The sequence below is a fragment of the Homo sapiens genome, chromosome 10, assembly GCF_000001405.40.
Source record: "Homo sapiens chromosome 10, GRCh38.p14 Primary Assembly".
Classification (NCBI taxonomy): Eukaryota; Metazoa; Chordata; class Mammalia; order Primates; family Hominidae; genus Homo; species Homo sapiens.
Genome location: NC_000010.11, coordinates 99859820 through 99886103, shown reverse-complemented (window position 1 = coordinate 99886103; position 26284 = coordinate 99859820). Strand labels below are relative to the sequence as shown.

Below are 26284 nucleotides of genomic sequence, written 5' to 3'. Positions count from 1 at the left end.
AGCAGTTCCCAGAAGAGCCAGCCAACCTGGCCCGCAGGCAGTGCCCTGGAGAACTTGTGTCTTGCATCAGGCTGCTGTGTCGGTAGCTCAGAGAATGAGCTGCAGCTGAACTTTAGCTTCCAGTGGTTCTAAGGAGACTGTCAATCCGGGATCTTTCATCATGTTTTCTTCTTTTCTCTGGGATCTTTTATCGTGTTTTCTTCTTTTCTCTATCTCTGCTCTTCCCATGGACCCCAGTTACTCAAAGTGGCTGGCAGAGAGGGAAACCTTATTGCCATCTTCCACGAAGAGCACAGCAGAGTTCTGCAGCAACTCCAGGTTTTTACCTTCTTCCCGGAGTCTCTTCCAGCTACCAAGAAGCCATTTGAGAGGAAAACCATTGACCGCCAGTCTGCTCGAAAGCCACTCCTGGGCCTGGTGAGTAGGGAACTGAGAGCAGCAGCCCCGCCTCGGGGTAAAGAGGGGGAACCCTGCAGCCAGGCCCCCAGGCCCAGATCCCACTATTGGAGTTTCTGTATTTCATAATAAATGGAGAATAGTGTTGCATTCTCACCCATCATGGGCTCATGCATTCGCCATTTTTTTTTTTGAGACAGAGTCTCATCTCATTCTGTTGCCAGGCTGGAGTGCAGTGGTGTGATCTTGGCTCACTACAACCTGCGCCTTCTGGGTTCAAGTGAATTCTCCTGCTTCAGCCTCCCAAGTAGCTGGGACTACAGGCACACGCCACTACGCCCAGCTAATTTTTCTATTTTTTAGTAGAGATGGGGTTTTACCATGTTGGCCAGGGTGGTCTCGATCTCTTGACCTTGTGATCTGTCCGCCTCAGCCTCCCAAAGTGCTGGGATTACAGGCATGAGCCACCATCCCCAGGCTTTTTTTGTGGGGGGGAGGGGATTAACCCAGTATTAATTCATTGGTTCATTAATTCAGGAAACTGATTTAAGGGTATATTAATTCTGCCAGGCCTATTTTTTATGATGTATTCATAAAAGTAATACAGCTAAACAGTTAATGGTTGGCTGCCTTTTTTACCTGGAGTTAGTCTTTTTTAACCTCAGTTCTTCCATATTTTAAAAATTAGCATAAGGCACACCAGCTAGAGGACTGCTGATACATCTTTGCTTACAATATTTTTGCCCCATATGATCCCATAGACATTAATTTATATTACCTTAAAAGGGAGAATTATGATTTTTTGAGACAGAGCCTTGCTCTGTCACCCAGGCTGGAATGCAGTGGTCTGATCTTGGCTCACTGCATCCTCCACCCTCCCAGGTTCAAGTGATTCTCCTGCCTCAGCCTCTTGAGTAGCTGGGATTACAGGCATGCGTTACCATGCCTGTATTGTATTTTTAGTAGAGACAGGGTTTCGCTATGTTGACCAGACTGGTCTCCAAGTCCTGGCCTCAAGTGATCTGCCCACCTTGGCCTCCCAAAGTGCTGGGATTACAGGTGTGAGCAACCATGCCCAGCCTGAATTTATTATTACCTTTTTTCTTATGACTTCCTTGCTTTCACAGGTGGGGAAGTCAAGATAGATGAACCTAACCGAGAATGTCCCTAACAAAATACAAGAAGACCTACTAATATCACTTAGATATTTTGATTTTTTTTAAGTGGCATTTTAATCACGTTTGTCACAAGAAAACAAATGTAAGAATAGGTGTGTGTTAAATTTTCTTAACTATAAAGGCATCAAACATTGCCTAAGGGCTCTTGATTTTTACCTAGCCACATGGGCTGGCTTCATCACAAAAACATCTGATGGGAGTGAGATGGGCAGTGACTGACTGTCCCTGCCTCATTTCTGAGACTGGCCACATGTTGGGATGAAATATGGCTGCTGGGGTAGTGGCCACTGAGAGATTTTTGTTAACGTCTTACCTTTCAGCCAAGTTACATGCTACAGTCAGAAGAACTCCGGGCCTCCCTCCTGGCCAGGTATCCCCCTGAAAAACTCTTCCAGGCAGAACGGAACTTCAATGCTGCTCAAGACTTGGATGTCTCACTTTTGGAAGGTGACCTGGTGGGTGTGATTAAGAAAAAAGACCCCATGGGCAGCCAGAACCGCTGGCTGATTGACAATGGAGGTAAGAATTTTAAGCAGCAGAGGACTGTAACTGGAAAAAAAAAATAGTAGTTTTGGCTGCACCCGAATCTGGACTAGGCCAGGAAAAAAAAGCAAAAAGTATCTTTGATTAAGGGGAAAAATAACCTGAAAAATAACCTTAACCTTCTCTAGAGAGTGAAGATCATTACTGAAACAAAACCTCTTTTTGTTTTGACAAATTCCAGAGGAGACACCGTTGCTTATCATGCAAGCTCTTGCCATATCTTACAGCACTTACAGGCAGGAAGTCCTGCCTCACGGAATCCTGTTCCTTCTTAGCCTGTTCCCAGTATGCCACAAAATAAGCTGCCCTCTTTTCAAATTTTTTTTTTTTTTTTTTTTTTTTTTTTTTGTGGCAGTCTTGCTCTGTTATCCAGGCTGGAGTGCAGTGGCACAATCATAGCTTATTACTCCTGGGTTCAAGGGATCCTCCTGTCCTAGCTGGGACTACAGGTATGCCATCATGCCCAGCTAATTTTTTAATAATTTTATAGATATTACGTCTTGCCATGTTGTCCAGGCTGGTCTCCAACTTCTAGGCTCAAGCCGTCCTCCTGCCTGGACCTCCTAAAATGCTGGGATTATAGGTGTGAGCCACCGCACCCAGCACCTCTTCCAGTTTCCATGAATTTGTCTTGTGGAAATTAAAAACCTGTGGGATTTCATTTGCTTTCTTCTCCCCATGACAGTTTTACCTCATGACTATTTAGGGAATTACTTTAAAAACAGCTTACAACTTTTTTGGAGGGAGAGTGATTTACAGAATTTAAGTAAGTGTACAAGGGATAATACTGATCTGTAATCCCTTTTTCCAAAATCCAAAAAGCTCTAAAAACACTTTTGCCAAAACCTGAATGAAGGTGATGTGAGACTATTTATAATTGTAACTTATCCTTTTGGTGTGAATAGTCATGTGTATGTATTTTTCATTTTTATTATTTTTTAAGACAGGGTCTAGCTCTGTCACCCAGGCTAGAGTGCAGCAGCACGATCTCAGCTCACTGCAACCTCTGCCTTCAAGCGATTCTCCTGCCTCAGCCTCACAAGTAGCACGCACCACCACACCTGGCTAACTGTTTGTATTTTTTGTAGAGACGGGGTTTCACCATGTTGACCAGGCTGGTCTCCAACTCCTAACCTCAGGTGTTCCATCCCGCCTTGACCTTCCAAAGTGCCAGGATTACAAGCATGAGCCACGGCACCTGGCCTTATTTTTTTTTAAATGCTTGATTGCAATCTGATTCAGCCAAGAGGTTGCTCACATCATGGGTGGATGACTACATCTCCAACATGAATGACACAAAAACATCAGAACTTTCCTATTTGCAATTATGTGAGATACTTTAAGTTTTAGTTTATAACTGACACATACTTGTTCATATCTATGGGGTACGGTGCGATAATTTTGAGATAGGGTCTAGCTTTGTCACCCAGGCTGGATTGTAGGGGCACAATCTTGGCTCACTGCAGCCTCCACCTCCCAGGCTCAAGCAATCCTCCTGTCTCGGCCTCCTGAGTAGCTGGGACCAGAGGCATGCGTGACCATGCCCAGTTAATTTTATTTTAGTAGAGACAGTCTCCCTGTGTTGCCCAGGCTATAAACTTGTCATTTCTTTGCAGAGATATCATTCAGAATCCTTGGCTTCTAGCCATCTTGAAATATACATTATCATTAGCTATAGTAACCTTACTGTGCAATAGAACACCAGAGCTTATTTCTCCTAACTTTGTACCTGTTGAGCAACCTCTCCCCAGACTCACCTCCCCTTCCACCACCCCCAGCCTCTGGTATCTAGCATTCTACTCTCAACCTCTATGAGATCAACTTGTCTAGATTCCACGTGAATGAGATTATATGGTATTTGTCTTTCTGCGCCTGGCTCATTTCACTTAACGTGTCCTCCAGGTTCAACCATGTGGCCGCAAATGACAGGATCTCATTCTGAATATTCATTAACAGAATTGATTACGGGGTGCTGACCCTGCTGGGGGGTTTTACAAAATATGTAGTATGGGTACTTGACTACCTTCCCAGAATTAAAAAGAATCTGAATTCCAAAACATATCTGGCCCTAAGCATTTTAGGTAGGGATTGTGGTCCCTATCTAGACAGACATTATGTATTCACCACCCAGAACTGAAAAATGTCACATTTCTTGGTTTCTTTAAAAGCATCTTGTGGATTTTTTTTCTCCCCACTTCTGCTTACACAGAACGAGAGATTAAAAGTGGGACACGAAGGACAGAGGATGGAGCCTGTTAGGGTGACATCAGGTGACAGCTACTGCTGGGGTCAGAGACAGATGGACCTAAAGTCCCAAGCTGTTTAAGAAACTGCTCCATCCTTCAGTTTTTATCTACTCAAACTTGAGAAGTGGTAGCAGGAAGCCACAGTATTCAGATCAGCTGTCAGGTACAGGAAATGCATCAAAGATCAATAGAGTAATGGCCATTGTTCTCATGGAGGCTACATACTCTGGGTCTGTGCCTTGACAGTGTTATGAAAAATTGTCACGTGGATGCTCACGCAATCCCTAATTTATACTTGAGTTTTAGCTGAAAGCCCCCTTGGTCATCTTGGGCAATTTATTAAAGTGAACCATGTGCAGTACACGTTACGTGTATATTCTAACAAACAGTTTCCTACGTTAGAACATCCTTCCAGTATATCCAGACTCTCAGAGCAAAGGATTCACGTGTCCTGGTGGGAAAGAGGGCAGGGAGGTCTATGGAGGGGCTTCTTGAGCTGAGGCTTTTTTTTTGAGACGGAGTTTCGTTCTTGTTGCCCAGGTTGGAGTGCAATGGCATGGTCTTGGCTCACTGCAACATCTGGCTCCTGGGTTCAAGCGATTCTCCTGCCTTAGCCTCCTGAGTAGCTGGGATTACAGGTGCGCACCACCACATCCGGCTAATATTTTCGTATTTTTAATAGAGACGGGGCTTCACCATGTTGGCCAGGCTGGTTGTGAACTCCTGACCTCTGGTGATCTGCCCTCCTCAGCCACCCAAAGTGCCTGGATTACAGGTATGAGCCACTGTACCCAGTTTGTTTTGTTTTGTTTCAAATAGAGATGAAGTCTCGCTGTGTTGACCAGGGAACTGGGCTCAAGCAATCCTCTCATCTCAGCTTCCCAAAGAGCTAGGATTACAGGCGTGAGCTCCCGTGCGCTGCCGAGGCTGGTTCTTAACTCGGTCTTTTCCACACTTGCTGTATTTGAACATAGGCTTCATCAAGCCTTCCTCTTAGGCATGATCTCAGTGTCCTATGACATTCTCTTCCCATGCCGGTTCCCAGACATGGATTGTTTTCATTGCTGTCTTCTCAGTTGGCCATGGGCCTCCTGAGCATGCATCTGTTGTGAGGTTGTGAACATGAATGAACCGGCAGGCAGCTGCGGCTCTTCATCTCTACCTACACACATCACATCCTGGGACTGAGTGTTCCAAGCCGCTTTGTCACTAGGCATTTTATTTTGTGTCTCTCACTATTGGCCTGGCTTTTGAGTTTTTGTTTTACTCTTCATTTTACAGATGAATAACCTAGATCAGTTTTTTTTCTCTCAATGCTCCCTCTGTCTGTCCAGCCTTCTGCTAAGAGTTCTTGTTTATATTTCCTGTTTCCTTTGTAGTCACCAAAGGCTTCGTGTACAGCTCTTTCCTAAAGCCCTACAATCCTCGCCGCAGCCACTCCGATGCCTCCGTGGGTAGCCACTCCTCCACAGAGTCTGAGCACGGCAGCTCCTCCCCCAGGTTCCCACGCCAGAACAGCGGCAGCACCCTGACCTTCAACCCCAGCAGCATGGCTGTATCCTTTACCTCGGGGTCTTGCCAGAAGCAGCCTCAAGATGCATCTCCTCCGCCAAAAGAATGTGACCAAGGAACTCTCAGTGCATCCCTAAATCCGAGTAATTCAGAGAGTAGTCCTTCCAGATGCCCTTCAGACCCAGACTCCACCTCCCAGCCAAGGTCAGGGGACTCTGCAGATGTAGCTAGAGATGTAAAGCAACCCACTGCCACGCCGAGGAGCTACCGGAACTTCAGGCATCCAGAAATAGTTGGCTACTCCGTACCAGGACGAAATGGGCAAAGTCAAGACCTCGTCAAAGGATGTGCAAGAACAGCCCAGGCTCCGGAAGACAGAAGTACAGAGCCAGATGGCAGTGAGGCAGAAGGCAACCAGGTGAGTGCGTAAGAGGCCTGCCACTGTGGCACAGGCGGCAGCAGATGTGTTGTGGGTACCAGCGGGGGTGAGGCAGAAGTGGCTTGCCTGAGGCCTAGGGGTGATCTGAGATGAGCTCACAGACACACCTTTCAAGCACACAAGGAATCTCTGCCATCAGAGCCTTCTGAGCACCTTCCCCTGCTGATACTTCACAGGCTATTCCTGGACCCCTCTGTGTCACTGGGTGTTTAAAAGGTGCTATAATGACAACTTCATTATTCTTCCAGTTCACTAATTCTTCAGTTGTATAACATCCATTTAATCCACTTGTTTGGTTTTTGATTCAAGTAACCATACTTTATTTTTTTTTTGAGGAGTTTGTCACCCAGGATGGGGAATGCATGATCTCAGCTCACTGCAACCTCCACCTCTCAAGTTCAAGCAATTCTCATTTCTCATGCCTCAGCTTCCTGAGTAGCTGGGATTACAGGTGTACACCAACACACCCAGCTAATTTTTGTATTTTCAGTAGAGACAGTCTTCACCATGTTGGCCAGGCTGGTCTGGAACTGCTGGCCTCAAGTGATCCGCCCACCTCGGCCTCCCAAAGTGCTGGGATTACAGGCGTGAGCCATTGTGCCCAGCCCCAGTTTTTCCTATTCTCTTTGTAATGGCCTGTTCCCGTTTATGAGTTTGATTGTAGGCTTTGTATCTCAAACGTTTTGGGTTTTTTTTTTTTTTTTTGAGACAGAGTCTTGCTCTGTCGCCCAGGCTGGAGTGCAGTGGCGCAATCTCAGCTCACTGCAACCTCCGCCTCCCAGGTTCAAGCGATTCTCCTGCCTCAGCTTCCTGAGTAGCTGGGACTACTTTATTAGAGACAGGGTTTCCCTATGTTGGCCAGGATGGTCTCGATCTCCTGACCTCGCTGCCTGCCTTGGCCTCCCAATTTGCTGGGATTACAGGCGTGAGCCACCCACAGCTGGCCATATCTTGAACTAACCTGTATGCTTTAAAGCCATTTTCAGATTCACAGCTGCAGAGTCTTTGCTGCACCGTTTGTTGCCTTTGCTCGCTCTTCAGTGGAGCATCTTCCTGTGTTGACTGTCAGGTTTGTCTGCGAGCTCATCTCCAGAAGGATTTGCCCTCATGGGAAGGCCCAGTCGTGTCCTGGGTTGTAGAGGTGCTGCCTCTGCCACTGTCTGGATTCTAAGAGTCCAGTTTTTACCCACTTTCTCAGTTCAGGCTTCCCATAGCACATTCCTCAGTGCCATAGCCGAGCTTTGTGCATGCTCGTTTTTCTGGTGATTTCTCTTACTACCTACTTCCCGGGTCAAACATCCCCATTCTGGGCCTACCAAGCAGACAGTTATTATAGACACATCAAAGGGAAAAGAAGGACCTTTCTTAGATTGAGTTCGAGCAGGGAATGTAGTTGTAGTCTCAGCTCCAGTCCCTGACCAGGTCCTAAAGCTCCAGCCCTTGGGGCACGTGTCCCTCCCTCTGGCCCCCATGGGCCTCATGGCTTCTCCTCCTCCCTGAGCTCCTCCCTTCCATGGGCATTAGATCATGAGATCTTTGTTTGTGGCATCTAAAGATCAACTTTTCTTTGAAGTTGGTTGTGGTTTTCTGGTTTTTCTTTTTCATAATTTGTGTTGGAGGTATGGAAGAGTATGCTCGTCTTCCACCCTTTAAAGCAATTCTAAAAGACTGAAAAGGTAGTTTTTTTAAAATGGAGTCTTGCTCTGTTGCCCAGGCTGGAGTGCAGTGGTGCAACCTCTGCCTGCTGGGTTCAGGCAATTCTCCTGCCACAACCTCTGGAGTAGCTGGGATCACAGGTGTTCACCATCATGCTTATTTTTCGTGTTTTTGGTAGAAATGGGGTTTCACACCATGTTGACCAGCTGGTCTGAAACTCCTGACCTCTAGTGATCTGCCCTCAGCCTCCCAAATTGGTGTTTGTTCCAAGACAGAGTCTCACTCTGTCGCCCAGGGTCTGGAGTCCAGTGGCGCGATCTTGGCTCACTGCAACCTCTGCATCCTGGGTTGGAGCAATTCTCCTGTCTCAGCCTCGTGAGTAGCTGGGATTAGAAGTGTGTGCCACCACGCCCGGCTAATTTTTGTATTTTTAGTAGAGGTGGGGTTTCACCATGTTGGCCAGGCTGGTCTTAAATTCCCAACTTCAGGTGATCCACCCATCTCAGCCTCCCAGAGTGCTGGGATTACAGGCATGAGCCACCGTGCCCGGCCAAATTGGTGTTTTCTTTTAATCATCCCTATTATGGTAGCCATCATCCGTATGTACCTATTTAAATTTATTTTAGTTAAAATTAAATAAGATTAAAAATTCAGTTCCTCTGTCTCACTGGCCATATTTCAGGGGCTCAGTAGCCACATGTGGGCATGTGGATGTGGAACCCTCCCCAACACCGCACGAAGCTGTTGGATGGCATTGCTCCCAGCAATTTCCCATTTTCTCTCTCTCCCTCACACAGGTCTATTTTGCTGTCTACACCTTCAAGGCACGAAACCCAAATGAGCTGAGCGTGTCAGCCAATCAGAAACTCAAGATCCTCGAGTTTAAAGATGTTACAGGAAATACAGAGTGGTGGTTAGCTGAGGTTAACGGGAAGAAGGGCTACGTTCCCTCCAATTATATCCGCAAAACCGAGTACACCTGAGCCCACGTTGCCTGCCACCCAGCCTTGCTGCCTTTGCTTTCAGTCCGCCGAGGGTTCTGGCGGCCCACCGAGAGGGCGCCTGCTCCTGAGACACAGGCCCTGTCTGCGTTGCTTAACCATGGCATGGTGGAGCACACCACAGATCTTGTTCTCCTCGATTGGGTTGTAAACCTTGATGCTCACTAGAATCTCTAGAATTTGAAATGGACCCTGGGGCTTTGCAAATGACTTAGTGACTATGAGAAGAGAGACAAGTCTTAGAGCTGGCTTTTGGAAAGGAGAAACTTGCAGTCAGAAGCCCAGTGTCCTATGTATGCAGGAAGCTGTGCTCTAGCAATAGACAGTGTTGGTAATGGTTGTGCTGTACGGCGTTTGGGGTGGCCCCATGTTCCATGCTCAGCTGACCGGATGCCAACTCAGATGAAAAGAATTCATGGCTCTGGGCACCCCGTGAGGCAGTGCTTGCACATGGCTGGGAGTTTGTCGGGATTGAACCAAACCTAGTGCTTCAAAGCTCCTGGGACACCTCCAGTGTCCAGCACACATTCTCATACATACTGCCCCTAATTTCTAAAGTCCCTAAAGCACTACATTCTGTAACCTTGTTTCTTTTACTCCATTCCCAGATTAGTTATGCAAAATTCAACTGCGTTCTACTTTTAGAAGTGTTTAGGGTCTTTATTTTCTGTTGACCCTTCATCTGAAAGATTCTCTTCCCTTGTTAGGTACAATCACTGCCCCCCCGCTTTTTTTTTTGAGATGGGGTCTTGCTATGTTGCCCAGGCTGGTCTTAAACGCCTGGGCTCAAGCAACCCTCCCGCCTCCCTGCTGAGATTACAGGTGTAAGCCACCATACCGCAACCTCAATGACACCTTTCTGATGGTCTTTACACAGTCTGTGATGTCTGGTGGCCCCCCTGCCCTGGACTCAATAATTGATAGATTTTCCTAGAGTAACAGTATGAGAGCTCCAGCCATTCCATTAAAAGTATTAGTTCTGCTTTGAGCTGAAACCAGTTGAGCCTAATGGAAGACTGGATGTCTTTCTTCTTCATCCAAGCACCCTAATGACTGTTTAGTTACATCCATAGATGCAGACAACATAACACCTGTGACTTACTTGAATTGGGATAAGCCATTCCAGAAGTAGCTTATCCTAGACTTGGAAATAAGATTTTTTTCACCACTAACTTCCATGCTTCAGAGATGACATTCAAAGCCAGATTCCCAAGTGCCTGATCATACCTCCCAGTCTCAGGAAGATATTTGCTTACCCCTTAGACCAAGAATCTTAAGATCTTCCCCAGCTATGAAGCCTATCTTGGAATGGGAAACCATGAAATTTGTCTTTTAAAAGAAAGGGAAGAAATAGCCTTACAGCCCCTGTTCCTCCAAGTGCACATTTAGCCTTAAAATCCTGGGAGTCGGGAGACACCGTGGAGTCCTAACATCCACAGTGTCTGCTGGTCGTGGTCAGAAGGCAGTAATGCAAGAGTCCTTTTGTGAAGAGTGTTTCTATGTAGAGATGTTTATATTTAAGTAGTTCTTTTATAAATAAAAGCATTTCTAATGGCCTTGGATGTTTTCTTGATTTCCATGTTTAAGCTGAACGGGTTTTTTTGTTTGTTTGTTTAAGCTGAACGTTTTTCCTGGGCTTCTGGGGAGGCCTTCTTGACAATGAGTGATGTCCAGATCTGGGAGAATGGGAGAGGCTAACTGAAGAAATGCAGGCCCAAAGTCATTCTGTCAAAGATTCCAACAATCTCTATATACTCAGGCCGAGTGTGGTGGCTCACACCTGTAATCCCACCAGCACTTTGGGAGGCCAAGGTGGGCGGATCACTTGAGGCCAAGAGTTTGAGACCAGCCTGGCCAACATGGTGAAACCCCATCCCTACTGAAAATACAAAAATTAGCCGGGCATGGTGCTGCATGCCAATAGTCCTGGCTAATCAAGTGGCTGAGAATTGCTTGAACCTGGGTGGCAGAGGTTGCAGTGAGCCAAGATCACACCACTGTACCCTAGCCCGGGCGATAGCAAGACCCTGTCTCAAAAAAAAAAAAAAAAAAAATCTCTGTATACTCAAAATATGTCCATGCTGCAGGTGACTGCCTCTATTTTCATCTTGTCCTGTGAAATTCTAACGAAACAGAAGAGCTGGGATCTCTAGGGGATAAGTATTTCCCTGATATTGCAGATGTGGACACTGATACACAAGGTTATCTAACAAGGTCACGGAGCAGCAGCTCAGGCAGTTGGGGGCAGGGAAGGAAGTGGCAGGGCTAGTGGCAGAGGTGGGATTGAGGACAGTATGGTGGGTGACAGTAAAGCGATCACCCAGTGTTGTTAAGGAATAGAAATCACTGAATTGGGTAGGCTGCAGGAAAGCAGCTGATAAGTCACCTATGCTACTCTCATGTGATAGACTAGGAAAATGGGGTCCAGAGACATTCGTACTCACCCAAGTCATATATCAAGTTTTTGAGGGGTTGTGAATTGAAACTCGGGCCTGCAGGCTCAGGCTGAGTCTGTACACCTTGTTCTGGAGCCAGACTGTCTGGCTTCTGACACTTGGCAGCTTTGTGACCTTGGCAACGTACCCACCTCTGTCTCAGTTCCCTGGTTGAGGTAGAGATAGTAATAGCATCCACCTTGTAGAGTTGATAGGAAGATTCCGTGAGTTAATACATGCACCATGCTGCAACAGGACAGCTGCGAGATACTGGAGGAGGACTTTCAGTGCTTGTCCCCCCATGGAAACATCTTAAACTATCTGTGCATGAAAATACCCTAAGCGCTAAGAAAACCATGTGAGAGATGACAGCACCTGGGTGTTGCATGCAAATATTAAGAAAAGATGCATTGGAGAGGGCAGGGAGGACATGTTCACAGGACCTGTGCCAACCCCTCCCTCAGCCGCAGGCAGCGCAGCACACATCGGAACACCCTCTGCATGGGGGGAAGAGAGGGAAGCGAGTCCCAGATTCAACCTTGGACCTCAGCACTACCCCAGTAAAACCCAGTGCCCAGCAGGTCCTCACAGCCCCAGACTCCAGGCTGGTAGCTGCACACTTGCCCCCAGGCCTGCCTGTAGCATAGAAGCTTCACGAGAATGCCTGAGACCACTGTGGACACTCATGTGACTAACATTTGCTCAAGGCAACACACCTGCCCATTCTTGATAGAGGAGTAGTAAGGGCCTAGGATTACAAGCCCTTACTATTCTAGATAACCTATCTATGTATCTAGGATATATGGATCCCAGGTTTCTAGCTTAGGAGACAGCAGAGAAGTGATGGGTGCCAATGGACCATCCAGCCGGAAAGGGGAAAAAATACATGCAAAGCATTTCAGCAGGCTTGGTGCTTACTACTGAGTTCACTGTGGGTCAAATCATTGACCCCTTATGTTCCCCTCTTGATTCAAGCCACGAGGAAGAAGAACCCGGAAATACAGTCCTGGATGGAGTTTGTGTCTTGTAGGAGCTGGTTGTTACCAGCTTGTACCCACTGCTCCCACAGCACCCTCTCCACCCAAAGCACCCACCGTCAAATTACCCTTCCAGCTCTGCAGATCCAGCAGGAGGTTAGCGTGAAGGAATCACATCAGATATAGGTAAGAAAAAGATTCAGCCACTGTCCTCTTGCCTTACTGTCCTATCTCAACATCTCTATGCATCCAGAACACTTTCTTAAAGCACAAAACCTACTTCAAAGCCATGAAGAGTAGTACAGACCTTTACGGAAGATTTCTTGTGGGTATGAAAGACGACAACCCCACCTATGACATCTAAGGCAGAACTTTCTGGAAATATTGCTTTTCAACATCGACACAAGACTTCTACTTCTTCCGGCATCAGTCCAACTCTCCCTCAATATTCCTCTCCGCCCATTTTTCTACTGCCGAGCTTTCCCCTCTTCCTCCCTGTCCCCTACTCCCCTTTTTAAGTCAAATGACTGAGTTCTTGCACTGGCATCTACCCCAAGTGCCAGCATCATCACACCAGAACAAAGGCCTCATGGCCACACAGTGCAAACAAACAGAAGACTCTCAGAATATGAGGGAATGGCCAGACGTTTCTACTTAGTTATTTTGTATTATATATGATGCTAATATGAGTGCCTTGGTTCCAAGGAACATCCCATGGCACACAATGTCCTCAAGAGAGTCTGTAAGCTTTCTGGGAAGCTCAGGGTTCTGTCCAAAATAGCATCTTCCACTCACTGAGCCACGCACTGTGCCAAGGCTTACCCTGCATTATCCTATGTCACCCCCTACCCCCGCCCAACAAAAGAACACTACAAGGTGTGTAGAAGTAACAAAACTGATGCTCAGAGCCCAGCAGGTTGAGGCTGCAGGAAGCCGTGATCACACCACTGCACTCCAGCCTGGACAGCAGAGTGAGACCGTCTCAAAAACAGAATGACTCATGCTCAGAGGATAAGAAACTCAACCAGGTTTACCCAGATAGAAATAGTAAGACTCAGATTTCAATCCCAGCCCTGAGAGCAAAGCTCATGTATTTAACCCTTTGCTATATACCCACTTGAGAACACACCAGCTCATGTGTACAACCAAAAGGACTTTGGCCCTAAGCCATTGAATGGCCCTTCCTAGTCAGTTCTGTGGGAGCCTTCATCAAAAGAGGACACTGGCCCTTTAAAGGAAGGATTGAATAGCAGTAAGAGTCTAAGCCAGTCTCCATTGCTTTAGGTCAATGTGGAAACAACACATAACCTTCAACTCTCCTCCAGGGCCTGGTCTACATAGAGCTGTCTGGAGTCCTGCCCTGGCTGCCTCTGTTCCTGAACCTTTGGATTTCTTGGAATTCTAATCCTCTAAATCCAGTCTTTTGACTGAACCATTTGGAAATTGAGGCCTGCATGGCAGTAGGGAGTACCCTCACCCCCAGAGGTAACAACTCTTTAGGAAATTTCCAAAATACACCTAGTACCAGTAAATAACCTGCCTGGTTCCCTAATCTTTCCTTCACCATGTAGAGGCTTCTGGATAATTTTGGTCCTCAGTTCACTATTGGGAGTCTTCTATAGCATCTGCTCCAAGTTAAGAAGATTCGCACACTGATCCTAAAATTCATATGGAAACGCAAGGGACCCAGAGTAGCCAAAACAATCTTGAAAAAAGGAACAAGATATAAAACTACAATAAGTAAGACTATGTGAGACTGACATAAGATAGACATAGATTGAGGGTCTAAAACTTTGGCCAGGCACAGCAGGTCACACCTATAACCCCAACACTTTGTGAGGCTGAGGTAGAAGGATTGCTTGAGCCCAGAATTCGAGACCAACCTAGGCAACATGGTGAAATTCCATTTCTACAAAAATACAAAACTTAGTTGGGCATGGTGGTGCACACCTGTAATTCCAGCTACTTGAGAGGCGAAGTAGGAAGATTATTTGAGCCTGGGAGGTTGGGGCTGCAGTGAACAGTGAACATGCTACTGCACTCCAGCCTGGTGACAGCGTGAGACCTCGTCTCAAAAAACATAAAAATAAACCTTTACATGTATTGTCAAATATGAATTGACCAAGGTGTCAGAACAACTTAATGGGGAAACAACCATCTTTTGCACAGATGGTGCCAGGACAACTGGATATCCACATGCAGGAGAATGAAGTTAGACCGCTTCCTAAACCACACACGAAAATTCACTCCAAATGGAGCATAGACCTAAATGTAAGAGTTAGAACTACACAATTCTTAAAATGGGAAAAAGTTCTCACAACCTTGGATTAGGCTTTAGTTTCTTCAAATGACAACAAAAGTGACCAAAAAAAAAAAAAAACCAGATAAATTAGACCTCATCAAAATGGAAAACTTTTGTGCTTATAATGCCATTGGCCAGGCATGATGGCTCACACCTATAACCGCAGCACCTTGGGAGGCCAAGGCAGGATTTCTTGAGCCCAGGAATCTGAGACCAGCCTGGGCAACACAGGTAGAACTCGTCTCTACAAAAAATTTTTTTCAATTAGCCAGGCATGGTGGTGTAGTCCCAGCTACTTGGGAAGCTGAGGTGGGAGGATTGCTTGAGCCCAGGACGTAGCAACTGCAGTGAGCCATGATTGTGCCACTGCACTCCAGCCTGGGTGACAGAGCAAGACCCCATCTAAAAACAACCAAACAAAACAAGAAACACACTATCAAAGTGAAAAGACAACCCACAGAATAAGAAAAATATATTTCAACTCATACGTCTGATAAGAGAATTGTATCCGGAATATATAAAGAAGTCTTATAACTCATTGAAAAGAAAATAAACACCCAATTTAAAATTGGGCAAAGGGACCAGGCCTGTTAGCTCACACCTATAATCCCAGCACTGCGTGAGGCTGAGGTGGGAGGACTGCTTTAGCCCAGGAGTTCAAGACCAGCCTGGGCAACATAGAGAGAACCCACCTCTGCCAAAAATAATAATAATTAGCTGGGAGTGGTGGTGCCTGCCTGTCTGTGGTCCCAGCTACTTGGGAGGCTGAGGTGGGAGGCTTCTGGCTTGAGCCCAGGAGGCTGACGCTGCAGTGAGCTATAATTGAGCTACTATACTCCAGTCTGAGTAAGAGTGAGACCTTGTCTTAAAAGAAAAAAAAAAAAAAGCTCAATATCACTAACCAGATAAATGCAAATTGAAACCACAATGAGATATCATCTCACCACAGTTAAAATGGCTTTTATAAAAAAAGACAAGAAAGAGGGGAGGGGCCAAGATAGAATAGGAAGAGCTCTGGTCTGCAGCTCCCAGTGAGACCAATGCAGAAGGCGGGCGATTTCTGCATTTACAACTGAGATACCCAGTTCATCTCACGGGGGTTAGGCTGTGGGTACAACCCATGGAGGGTGAGCAGAAGCAGAGTGGGGCGTCGCTTCACCCCAGAAACTCAAGGAGCCAGGGGACCTCCCTCCCCCAGCCAAGGGAAGCCGTGAGGGACTGTGCTACCCAGCCCGGATACTACCCTTTTCCCTTGGTTTTTGTAATCTGCAGATCAGGAGATTCCCTCATGTGATAACACCATCAGGGCCCTAGGTTTCAAACACAAAACTGGGTGGGTGTTTGGGCAGACATTGAACTAGCTGCAAGAGTTTTTTTCATACCCCAGTGGCGCCTGGAACCCCAGTGAGACAGAACCGTTCACTCCTCTGGAAATGGAAAGGGGGCTGAAGCCAGAGAGCCACGTGGTCTCGCTCAGCAGATGCCACTCCCACGGAGCCCAGCAAGCTAAGATCCACTGGCTTGAAATTCTCACTGCCAGCACAGCAGTCTCAATTCAACCTGGGATGACCAAGCTTGGTGCAGGAAGGGGCATCCGCCATTACTGAGGCTTTAGTAGGCAGTTTTCCCAACAGTGCTAAGGAGATAGGAGGTTTAGACTGGGCGGGAATTCACCACGGCGTGGCTAAGCAGCCATGGCCAGACTGCTTCTTTAGATTCCTCCTCACTGGGCAGGGCATACTTTGAAGGAAAGGTAACAGCCCCAGTCAGGGGCATACAGATAAAATTCCCACCTCCCTGGGACAGAGCACCTGGGGGAAGGGGTGGCTGTGGGTGCAGCTTCAGCTGATTTAATTGTTCCTGCCTGCCAGCTCCGAAGAGAACAGCTGATCCTGACAAGAAGGATTCTCCCAGCACAGCACACCAGCTCTGCTAAGGGACAGACTGCCTTCCCAAGTGGGTCCCTGATCCCTGTGCCTCCTGACTGGGAGACACCTCCCAGCAGGGGTCAACAGACACCTCGTACAGGAGAGCTCCAGCCGGCATCAGGCCGGTGCCCCCCTGGGACAAAGCTTCCAGAGGAAGGAGTAGGAAGCAATCTTTGTTGTTCTGTTAGCCTCCACTGGTGATACCCAGGGGAACAGGGTCTGGAGTGGACCTCCAGCAAACTGCAGCAGAACTGCAGCAGAGGGGCCTGTTAGAAGAAAAACAGAAAGCAACAACATCAACATCAACATCAACAAAAAGGACCCCCACACAGAAACCCCATCCAAAGGTCATCAGCTTCAAAGATCAAAGGTAGGTAAATCCATGAAGATAAGGAAAAACCAGCGCAAAAATGCTGAAAATTCCAAAGACCAGAATGCCTCCCCTCCTCCAAATGATTACAACTCCTCTCCAGCAAGGGCACAAAACTGGATGGAGAATGAGATTGATGAATTGACAGAAGTAGGCTTCAGAAGGTGGGTAATAACAAACTTTAGCTCTGAGCTAAAGGAGCATGTTCTAACCCAATGCAAGGAAGCTAAGAACCTTGAAAAAAGATTATAGGAACTGCTAACTAGAATAACCAGTTTTGAGAGGAACATAAATTACCTGATGGAGCTGAAAAACACAGCAGGAGAACTTCGTGAAGCACACGCAAACATCAATAGCCAAGTCAATCAAGCAGAAGAAAGGATATTAGAGATTGAAGATCAACTTACTGAAATAAGGCATGAAGACAAGATTAGAGAAAAAAGAATGAAAAGGAACGAACAAAGCCTCCAAGAAATATGAGACTATGTGAAAAGACCAAACCTACAATTGATTGGTATACCTGAAAGTGACGGGGAGAACAGAACCAAGTTGTAAAACATACTTCAGGATATTTTCCAGGAGAACTTCCCCAACCTAGCAAGACAGGCCAACGTTCAAATTCGGGAAATGCAGAGAACACCACTAAGATACTTCTCGAGAAGAGCAACCCCAAGACATATAATTGTCAGATTCTCTAAGGTTGAAATGAAGGAAAAAATGTTAAGGGCAGCCAGAGAAAGGTCAAGTTACCTACAAAGGGAAGCCCATCAGACTAACAGCAGATCTCTCTGCAGAAACCCTACAAGCCAGAAGAGAGTGGGGGGCAATATTCAACATTTATTTTCTTGAGATAGAGTTTCACTCTTGTTGCCCAGGCTGGGGTGCAATAGCGCGATCTCAGCTCCCTGCAACCTCTGCCTTCCGGATTCAAGCAATTCTCTTGCCTCAGCCTCCCCAGTAGCTGGGATTACAGGCACCCACCACCATACCTGGCTAATTTTGTATTTTTAGTAGAGATGGGGTTTCACCATGTTGGCCAGGCTGGTCTCAAACTCCTGATCTCAGGTGATCCACCCACCTTGGCCTGCCAAAGTGCTGGGATTACAGGCATGAGCCCAGCCTTGACATTCTTAAAGAAAAGAATTTTCAACCCAGAATTTCATATCCAGCCAAACTAAGCTTCATAAGCAGAGGATAAATAAAATCCTTTACAGACAAGCAAATGCTGAGGGATTTTGTCACCACCAGGCCTGCCTTACAAGAGCTCCTAAAGGAAGTACTAAATATGGAAAGGAAAAACCAGTACCAGCCACTGCAAAAAAAAAAAACAAAATATAAAGACCAACAACAGTATGAAGAAACTGCATCAACTAATGTGCAAAATAACCAGCTAGCATCATGATGTCAGGATCAAATTCACACATAACAATATTAACCTTAAATGTAAATGGACTAAATGTCCAAATTAAAAGACACAGACTGGCAAATTGGATTAAGAGTCAAGACCCATCAGTGTGCTGTATTCAGGAGGCCCATCTCATGTGCAAAGACACACATAGGCTCAAAATAAAGGGATGGAGGAATATTAACCACGCAAATGGAAAGAAAAAAAAATGCAGGAGTTACAATCCTAGTCTCTGAAAAAACAAACTTTAAACCAACAAAGATCAAAAAAGACAAACAAAGGCATTACGTAATGGTAAAGGGATCAATGCAACAAGAAGAGCTAACTATCCTAAATATATATGCACCCAATACAGGAGCACCCGGACTCATAAAGCAAGTTCTTAGAGACCTACAAAGAGACTAAACTCCCACACAATAACAGTGGGAGACTTTAACACCCCACTGTCAATATTAGAGCAATGAGACAGAAAATTAACAAGGATATTCAGGACTTGAACTCAGCTCTGGACCAAGCGGACCTATTAGACATCTACAGAACTCTCCGCCCCAAATCAGCAGAATATACATTCTTCTCAGCACCAAATAGCACTTACTCTAAAATCGACCACATAATTGGAAGTAAAACAGTCCTTGGCAAATGCAAAAGAACGGAAATCATAACAAACTGTCTCTCAGACCACAGTGCAATCAAATTAGAACTCAGGATTAAGAAACTCACTCAAAACCACACAACTATGTGGAAATTGAACAACCTGCTCCTGAAGGACTACTAGGTAAATAATGAAATTAAGTCAGAAATAAAGAAGTTCTGTGAAACCAATGAGAACAAAGACAACGTACCAGAATCTCTGGGACACAGCTAAAGCAGTATTAAGAGGGAAATTTATAGCACTAAAATGCCCCCATCAGGAAGCTGGAAAGGTCAAAAACTGACACCCTAACATCACAATTAAAATAATTAGAGAAGCAAGAGCAAACAAATTCAAAAGCTAGCAGAAGACAAGAAATAACTAAGATCAGAGCAGAACTGAAGGAAATAGAGACAAAAAAAGCCCTTAAAAAAAAAAAAAATCAATGAATCCAGGAGCTGCTTTTATGAAGATTAACAAAATAGACTGCTAGCTAGACTAATCAAGAAGAAAACAGAAGAATCAAATAGATACAGTAAAAAATGATAAAGGGGATACCACCACTGATCCCACAGAAATACAGACTACCATCAGAGAATACTATAAACACCTCTCCACAAATAAACTAGAAAATCTAGAAGAAATGGATAAATTCCTGGACACATACACCCTCCCAAAACTAAACCAGGAAGAAGTCAAATCCCTGAATAGACTAATAACAAGTTCTGAAATTGAGGCAAGAATAGCCTACTAACCAAAAAAAGCCCAGGACCAGATGGAATTCCACCAGCGGTACAAAAAGGAGCTGGTACCATTCCTTCTGAAACTATTCCAAATAATAGAAAAAGAGGGACTCCTCCCTAACCCATTTTATGAGGCCAGTATCATCCTGATACCAAAACCTGTCAGAGACACAACAAAAAAAGAAAATTTCAGGCCGATATCCCTGATGAACATCAATAAATCCTCAATAAAATCCTCAATAAAATACTGGCAAACTGAATCCAGCAGCACATCGAAAAGCTTATCCACCATGACCAAGTCAGCTTCATCCCTGGGATGCAAAACTGGTTCAAGATACTCAATAAAACTCAAAATCCCTTCATGCTAAAAACTCTCAATAAACTAGGTATTGATGGAACATCTCAAAATAATAAGAGCTATTTATGACAAACCCATAGCCAATGGGCAAAAGCTGGAAGCATTCCCTTTGAAAACCAGCACAAGACAAGGATGCCCTCTCTCACCACTCCTATTCAATGTAGTATTGGAAGTTCTGGCCAGGGCAATCAGGCAAGAGAAATAAAGGTATTCAAATAGGAATAGAGGAAGTCAAATTGTCTCTGGTTGCAGACGATATGATTGAACATTTAGAAAATCTCATCTTCTCAGCCCAAAAACTCCTTAAACTGATAAGCAACTTCAGCAAAGTCTTAAAATACAAAATCAATGTGCAAAAATCACAAGCATTCCTATACACCAACAATAGACAAGCAGAGAGCCAAATCACAAGTGAACCCCCCCACACAATTGCTACAAAGAATAAAATACCTAAGAATCCAACTTACATGGGATGTGAAGGACCTCTTCAAGGAGAACTACAAACCAATGCTCAAGGAAATAAGAGGATACAAATTGAAAAACATTCCATGCTCATGGATAGGCAGAATCAATATCATGAAAATGGCCATACTGCCCAAAGTAATTTATAGATTCAATGCTATTCCCATCAAGCTACAATTGACTTCACAGAATTAGAAAAAACTACTTGAAATTTCATATGGAACCAAAAAAGAGCCTGTATAGCCAAGACAAGCCAAGACAATCCTAAGCAAAAAGAACAAAGCTGGAGGCATCACACTACCTGACTTCAAACTATACTACAAGGCTACAGTAACCAAAACAGCATGGTATTGGTACCAAAACAGATATATAGACCAATGGAACAGAACAGAGACCTTAGAGATAACACCACACATCTACAACCATCTGATCTTCGATAAACCCCACAAAAACAAGCAATGGGGAAAGGATTCCCTAATTTAATAAATGGTGCTGGGAAGGCCGGGCACAGTGGCTCACACCTGTAATCCCAGCACTTTGGGAGGCCGAGGCAGGTGGATCACCTGAGGTCGGGAGTTAGAGACCAGCCTGACCAACATGGAGAAACCCCGTCTCTACTAAAAATACAAAAAAAAAAAAAAAAAAAATTAGCTGGGCATGGTGGCTCATGCCTGTAATCCCAGCTACTCAGGAGGCTGAGGCAGGAGAATTGCTTGAACCTGGGAGCCAGAGGCTGCAGTGAGCTGAGATCATGCCATTGCACTCCAGCCTGGGCAACAAGAGCAAAACTCCATCTCAAAATAAAATAAATAGATGATGCTGGGAAAACTGGCTAGCCATATGCAGAAAACAGAAACTGGACCCCTTCCTTACACCTTATACAAAAATTAACTCAAGATGGATTAAAGACTTAAATGTAAAACCCAAAACCACAAAAACCCTAGAAGAAAACCTAGGCAATACCATTCAGAACATAGGCATGGGCAAAGACTTCATGACTAAAACACCAAAAGCAATGGCAACAAAAGACAAAATAGACAAATGGAATCCAATTAAATGAAAGAGCTCCTGCACAGCAAAAGAAATCATCATCAGAGTTAACAGGTAACCTACAGAATAGGAGAAAATTTTTGCAATCTATCCATCTGACAAAAGTCTAATATCCAGAATCTACAAGGAACTTCAACAAATTTACAAGAAAAAAAAAAACCCCGTAAAAAGGTAGGCGAAGGATATGAACAGACACTTCTCAAAAGATGACATTTATGCGTCCAACAAACATGAAAAAAAGATCACCACTGGTCATTAGAGAAATGAAAATCAAAACCACAATGAAATACCATCTCATGCCAGTTAGAATGGCCATTATTTAAAAAGTCAGGAAACAGATGCTGGCGAGGCTGTGGCGAAAAAGGAACGCTTTTACACTGTTGGTGGGAGTGTAAATTAGTTCAACCACCGTGGAAGACAACATGGCAAATTCCTCAAGGATCTAGAGCCGGAAATACCATTTGACTCACCAATCCCATTACTGGGTATATACGCAAAGGATTATAAATCATTCTACTATAAAAACACATGCACACGTATGTTTATTGCAGCACTATTTACAATAGCAAAGACTTGGAACCAACTCAAATGCCCATCAATGATAGACTGGATAAAGAAAATGTGGCACATATATACCACGGAATGCTATGTAGCCACAAAAAAGTATGAGTTCATGTCCTTTGCAGGGACATGGATGAAGCTGGAAACCATCATTCTCAGCAAACTAACACAGGAACAGAAAACCAAATACCACATGTTCTCACTTAGAAGTGGGAGTTGAACAATGAGAACACATAGGCACAGGGAGAGGAACACCACACACTGGGGCCTGTTGGGGGGTGAGGGACAAAGGGAGGGAGAGCATTAGGACAAATACCTAATGCATGCGGGGCTTAAAACCTAGATAATGAGTTGATAGGTGCAGCAAACCACCATGGCAAATGTATACCTGTGTAACAAACCTGCATGTTCTACGCATGTATCCCAGAATTTAAAGTAAAATTTAAAAAAAGGACACACACACACACACACACACACACACACACACACACACACACACACAAAGACAAGAAGTAACAGATGCTGGCAAGATTGTGGAGAAAGGGAATTCCTTGTACACAGTTGATGAGACATAAATTAGTACAGCCAATATAGAAAACTATATGGAAATTCCTCAAAAAATAGAACTACCATATATCTAGCAATTCCACTACTGGGTATATATCCAATAGAAAGGAAATCAATATATCAAAGAGATACCTGCACTCCCATGTTTATTGCAGCACTATTCACAACAGCTGAAATATGGAATAAACCTAAGTGCCCATCAGTGGATGAATGGATACAAAAAAATGTGGTACAGGCTGGGCGTGGTGGCTCACGCCTGTAATCCCAGCACTCTGGGAAGCTGAGGCAGGTGGATCACCTGAGATCAGGAGCTCGAGACCAGCCTGGGCAATATAGTGAAAACCCATCTCTACTAAAAATAAAAAATTAGCCAGCCATGGTGGTGCACACTTGTAGTCCCAGCTCCCTGGGAGGGTGAGGCAGGAGAATTGCTTGAAACTGGGAGGCAGAGGCTGCAGTGAGCCATGATAGCACCACTGTACTGCAGCCTGGGCAACAGAGCAAGATTGTCTCAAAAAAAAAAAAAAAAAATTGGGGAGATATATACACAACAGAATATTCAGCCATAAAAATTATGGCACTCATTTGCAGCAACATGATGGCACTAGAATCGTTAAGTGAAACGAGGCAAGTACAGGAAGACAAATATTGCATGTTCTCACTCATATGTAGGAGCCGAGACAGCAGATCTCATGAAGATAGAGAATAGATTAATGGTTACCAGAGGCTGGGAGGGGTAGGGGAAAGGGAGGTGAGAGCTTGATTCATGGGTACGAATATACAGTTTGATAGAAGAAATAAGCTCTAGGGTTTGATAGACTGGGAGGGTGACTATAATTTACAAAAGTCTATTCTATATTTCAAAATAGCTCAAAGAATGTGGAGAAAAGGGAACCCTTGTACACTCTGTCGGTGAGAATGTAAATGAGTGCAGCCACTATAGAAAACAATATGTAGATTCCTCAAAAAATTAAAAATAAGACTACCACATGATCCAGCAATCCCACTACTGGGATTCCAGAGGAAATGAGCTCTGTGTTGAGGTATCTGCGCTCCTATGTTTATAGCAACATTATTCGCAAGAGCCAAGATACAGAATCAACCTATGTCCTTCAACAGATGAATGGACAAAGACATTGTGGTTCATATACACAATGGGATACTATTCAGACTTAAAAAGGAAGAAGTCTTATCATTTGCAACAACTTAGATGAACCTGGAGGACATTTGTTAATTAAAATAAGCCAGGCAGGGCTGGGCAGGGGGGCTTATGTCTATAATCCTAGCGCTTTGGGATGGCTTGAGCCTAGGAGTTTGACCAGCCTAGGCAATATGGTAAAACCCCATCTCTACAAACAAATACCACCAACAACAACAAAAAACCCCACAAAAATTAGCTGGGCATACTGGTGTTTGCCTATAGTCTCAGCTGCTTGGGAAGCTGAGGTGGGAGGATCACCTAAGCCCCAGGGGCCGAGGCTGCAGGGAGCCGTGATTGTGCCACTGCACTCTAGTCTTGGGTGATGGAGTGAGACCCTATCTCAAGAAAAAAAAAAAAAAAAGCGACGCACAGAGAGACAAACATGTGATGTCATATATATGCAGAATCTAAAAATGAATTCACAGAAGCAGAGAATAGAATGGTGGTTACGATGCACTGGGGGAGTGAGGTAGGGGTTGGTAGATGCTGGTCAAAGAATTTAAAATTCCAGTTAGACAGGAGTAAGTTCAAGACACTTATCAAACAATATGGCAACTATACCTAATGTATTATATTGAATAATCACTGTTATTTTTTATTTTTTTAAAAAGACGTAGGTTCGCTCTGTGGCCCAGGCTGGAGTGCAATGGTGCAATCTTGGCTCACTGCAACCTCTGCCCTCAGGGTTCAAGCCATTCTCCTGCCTCAGCATCCCGAATAGCTGGGACTACAGGCATGTGCCACCATGCCTGGCTAATTTTTTTGTATTTTTAGTAGAGACAGGGTTTCACCACATTGACCAGGCTGGTCTCGAACTCCTGACTTCAAGCGATCCATCCACCTCGGCCTCCCAAAGTGCTGGGATTACAGGTGTCAGCCACCGTGCCTGGCCTAAAAATCGTTGAGATTTTTAAGTGTTCTCACTACAAAAAAAACGAAAAGCATATGGGGTGTGCCTATGTTGATTAGCTCAATTTAGCCATTTTACAGCATACGTATTTTAAAACATGTACACAAATATGTACATTTTTTGGGTCCATTAAAAAAAGAATGCTACAACATTGTCTGACACAAACAATACATTGGAGAGGTTTGAGGTCCAAATCAAGGAATTTCAATTTGAGGAGTGAGGTAATCAACTCCCATAAGTTTTTAAGGGGATGACCTGTTTTAAGAAAGCTAAATAGCAGCCAGGCATGGTGGCTCATGCCTGTAATCCCAGCACTTTGGGAGGCCGAGGTGGGAGGGTCATGGGGTCAGGAGATCGAGACCAGCCTGGCTAACATGGTGAAACGCCGTCTCTACTAAAAATACAAAAAATTATTTGGGCGTAGTGGTGGCGGAGCTTGCAGTGAGCCGAGATCACGCCATTGCACTCCAGCCTGGGCAACAGAGTAAGACTCCATCTCAAAAAAAAAAAAAAAAAAAAGTGCTAAATAGCAACAGGCTGCTGTGGAGGGAGAACAGACCAAAGGCAGGAAAAGCCAATGAATGGGGAAAAGAAATCAACTGATTCGGGCATAAGATTGAGAATGGAAAAAAATCAGCATCTATCAAAAATATGAAACTGAATAATGGAATCACAGGCACAAGGGAGATAACTGGGACGGGAGCAAGTTTACAAGATGAGTCTTTGTGTTTGCAACTTTAAATGTAAGTATTCCATAGTACTGCAAAATCTATGTAGTTACTTCATCTCAAAGAAATCATTTTTGATAATTAAAAAAAAAAAGATGAGTTTTGTTTTAAATACCAGATGTCTTCTAGGCTCTTCCTCCTTAAAATGTGACCTGCAGATCCAGGCACCGTGGCTCAAGCCCTTAATCCCACCTGCTTGGGAGGCTGAGGCAGGAGTATCCCCTTCAGCCCAGGAGTTCGAGGCTGCAGTGAGCTATGATGGCACTACTGCATCCCAGCCTGGGCAACAGCAAGAACCCACTTTTTTTTTTTTTTTTTTTGAGACAGAGTTTGGCTCTTGGTGCTCAGACTGAAGTGCAACGGTGTGATCTCAGCTCACTGCAACCTCCGCCTCTCGGATTCAAGCAATTCTCCTGTCTCAGCCTCCCGAGTAGCTGGGATTACAGGCATGTGCCACCACGCCTGGCTAATTTTGTATTTTCAGTAGAGACAGGGTTTCCCCATGATGGTTAGGCTGGTCTCTAACTCCTGACCTCAGGTGATCTGCCTGCCTTGGCCTCCCAAAGTGCTGGGATTATAGGTGTGAGCCACCGTGCCCAGCCCTACCCGAACCCACCTCTTAAAAAAAAAAAAAAGTGGTCTCTAGGCCGGCAGCATTGCCATCGCCACCACCTGTGAGCTCGCT

General features: G+C 44.9%; 1 protein-coding gene across 12 annotated transcripts in view, besides 1 other annotated feature; it reads left to right on the top strand.

Moving 5' to 3' along the window:
- Window positions 1-10533, top strand: part of DNMBP (dynamin binding protein) — a 134377-nt gene extending 123844 nt beyond the window's left edge. For 9 of the 12 annotated variants that reach the window (NM_001441288.1, NM_015221.4, NM_001441287.1 and 6 more), the window contains 4 exons: window positions 238-417; window positions 1895-2093; window positions 5743-6293; window positions 8768-10527. In NM_001441288.1, the coding sequence (NP_001428217.1) occupies window positions 238-417; window positions 1895-2093; window positions 5743-6293; window positions 8768-8953 (1116 nt within the window). In that variant the 3' untranslated portion in view covers window positions 8954-10527. Of the gene's footprint in view, window positions 1-237; window positions 418-1894; window positions 2094-4903; window positions 5002-5742; window positions 6294-8767 lie in introns of all 12 variants that reach the window. The other 3 variants (NR_199816.1, NR_199817.1, XM_047424910.1) reach the window with 2 other exon arrangements.
- Window positions 15642-15791: an enhancer, noted in NCBI's record as "active region_3873". NCBI's record gives its function as "activates an Ori minimal core promoter by ATAC-STARR-seq in GM12878 lymphoblastoid cells {active_cell/tissue: GM12878}" and the evidence as "EXISTENCE:reporter gene assay evidence [ECO:0000049][PMID:35858748]".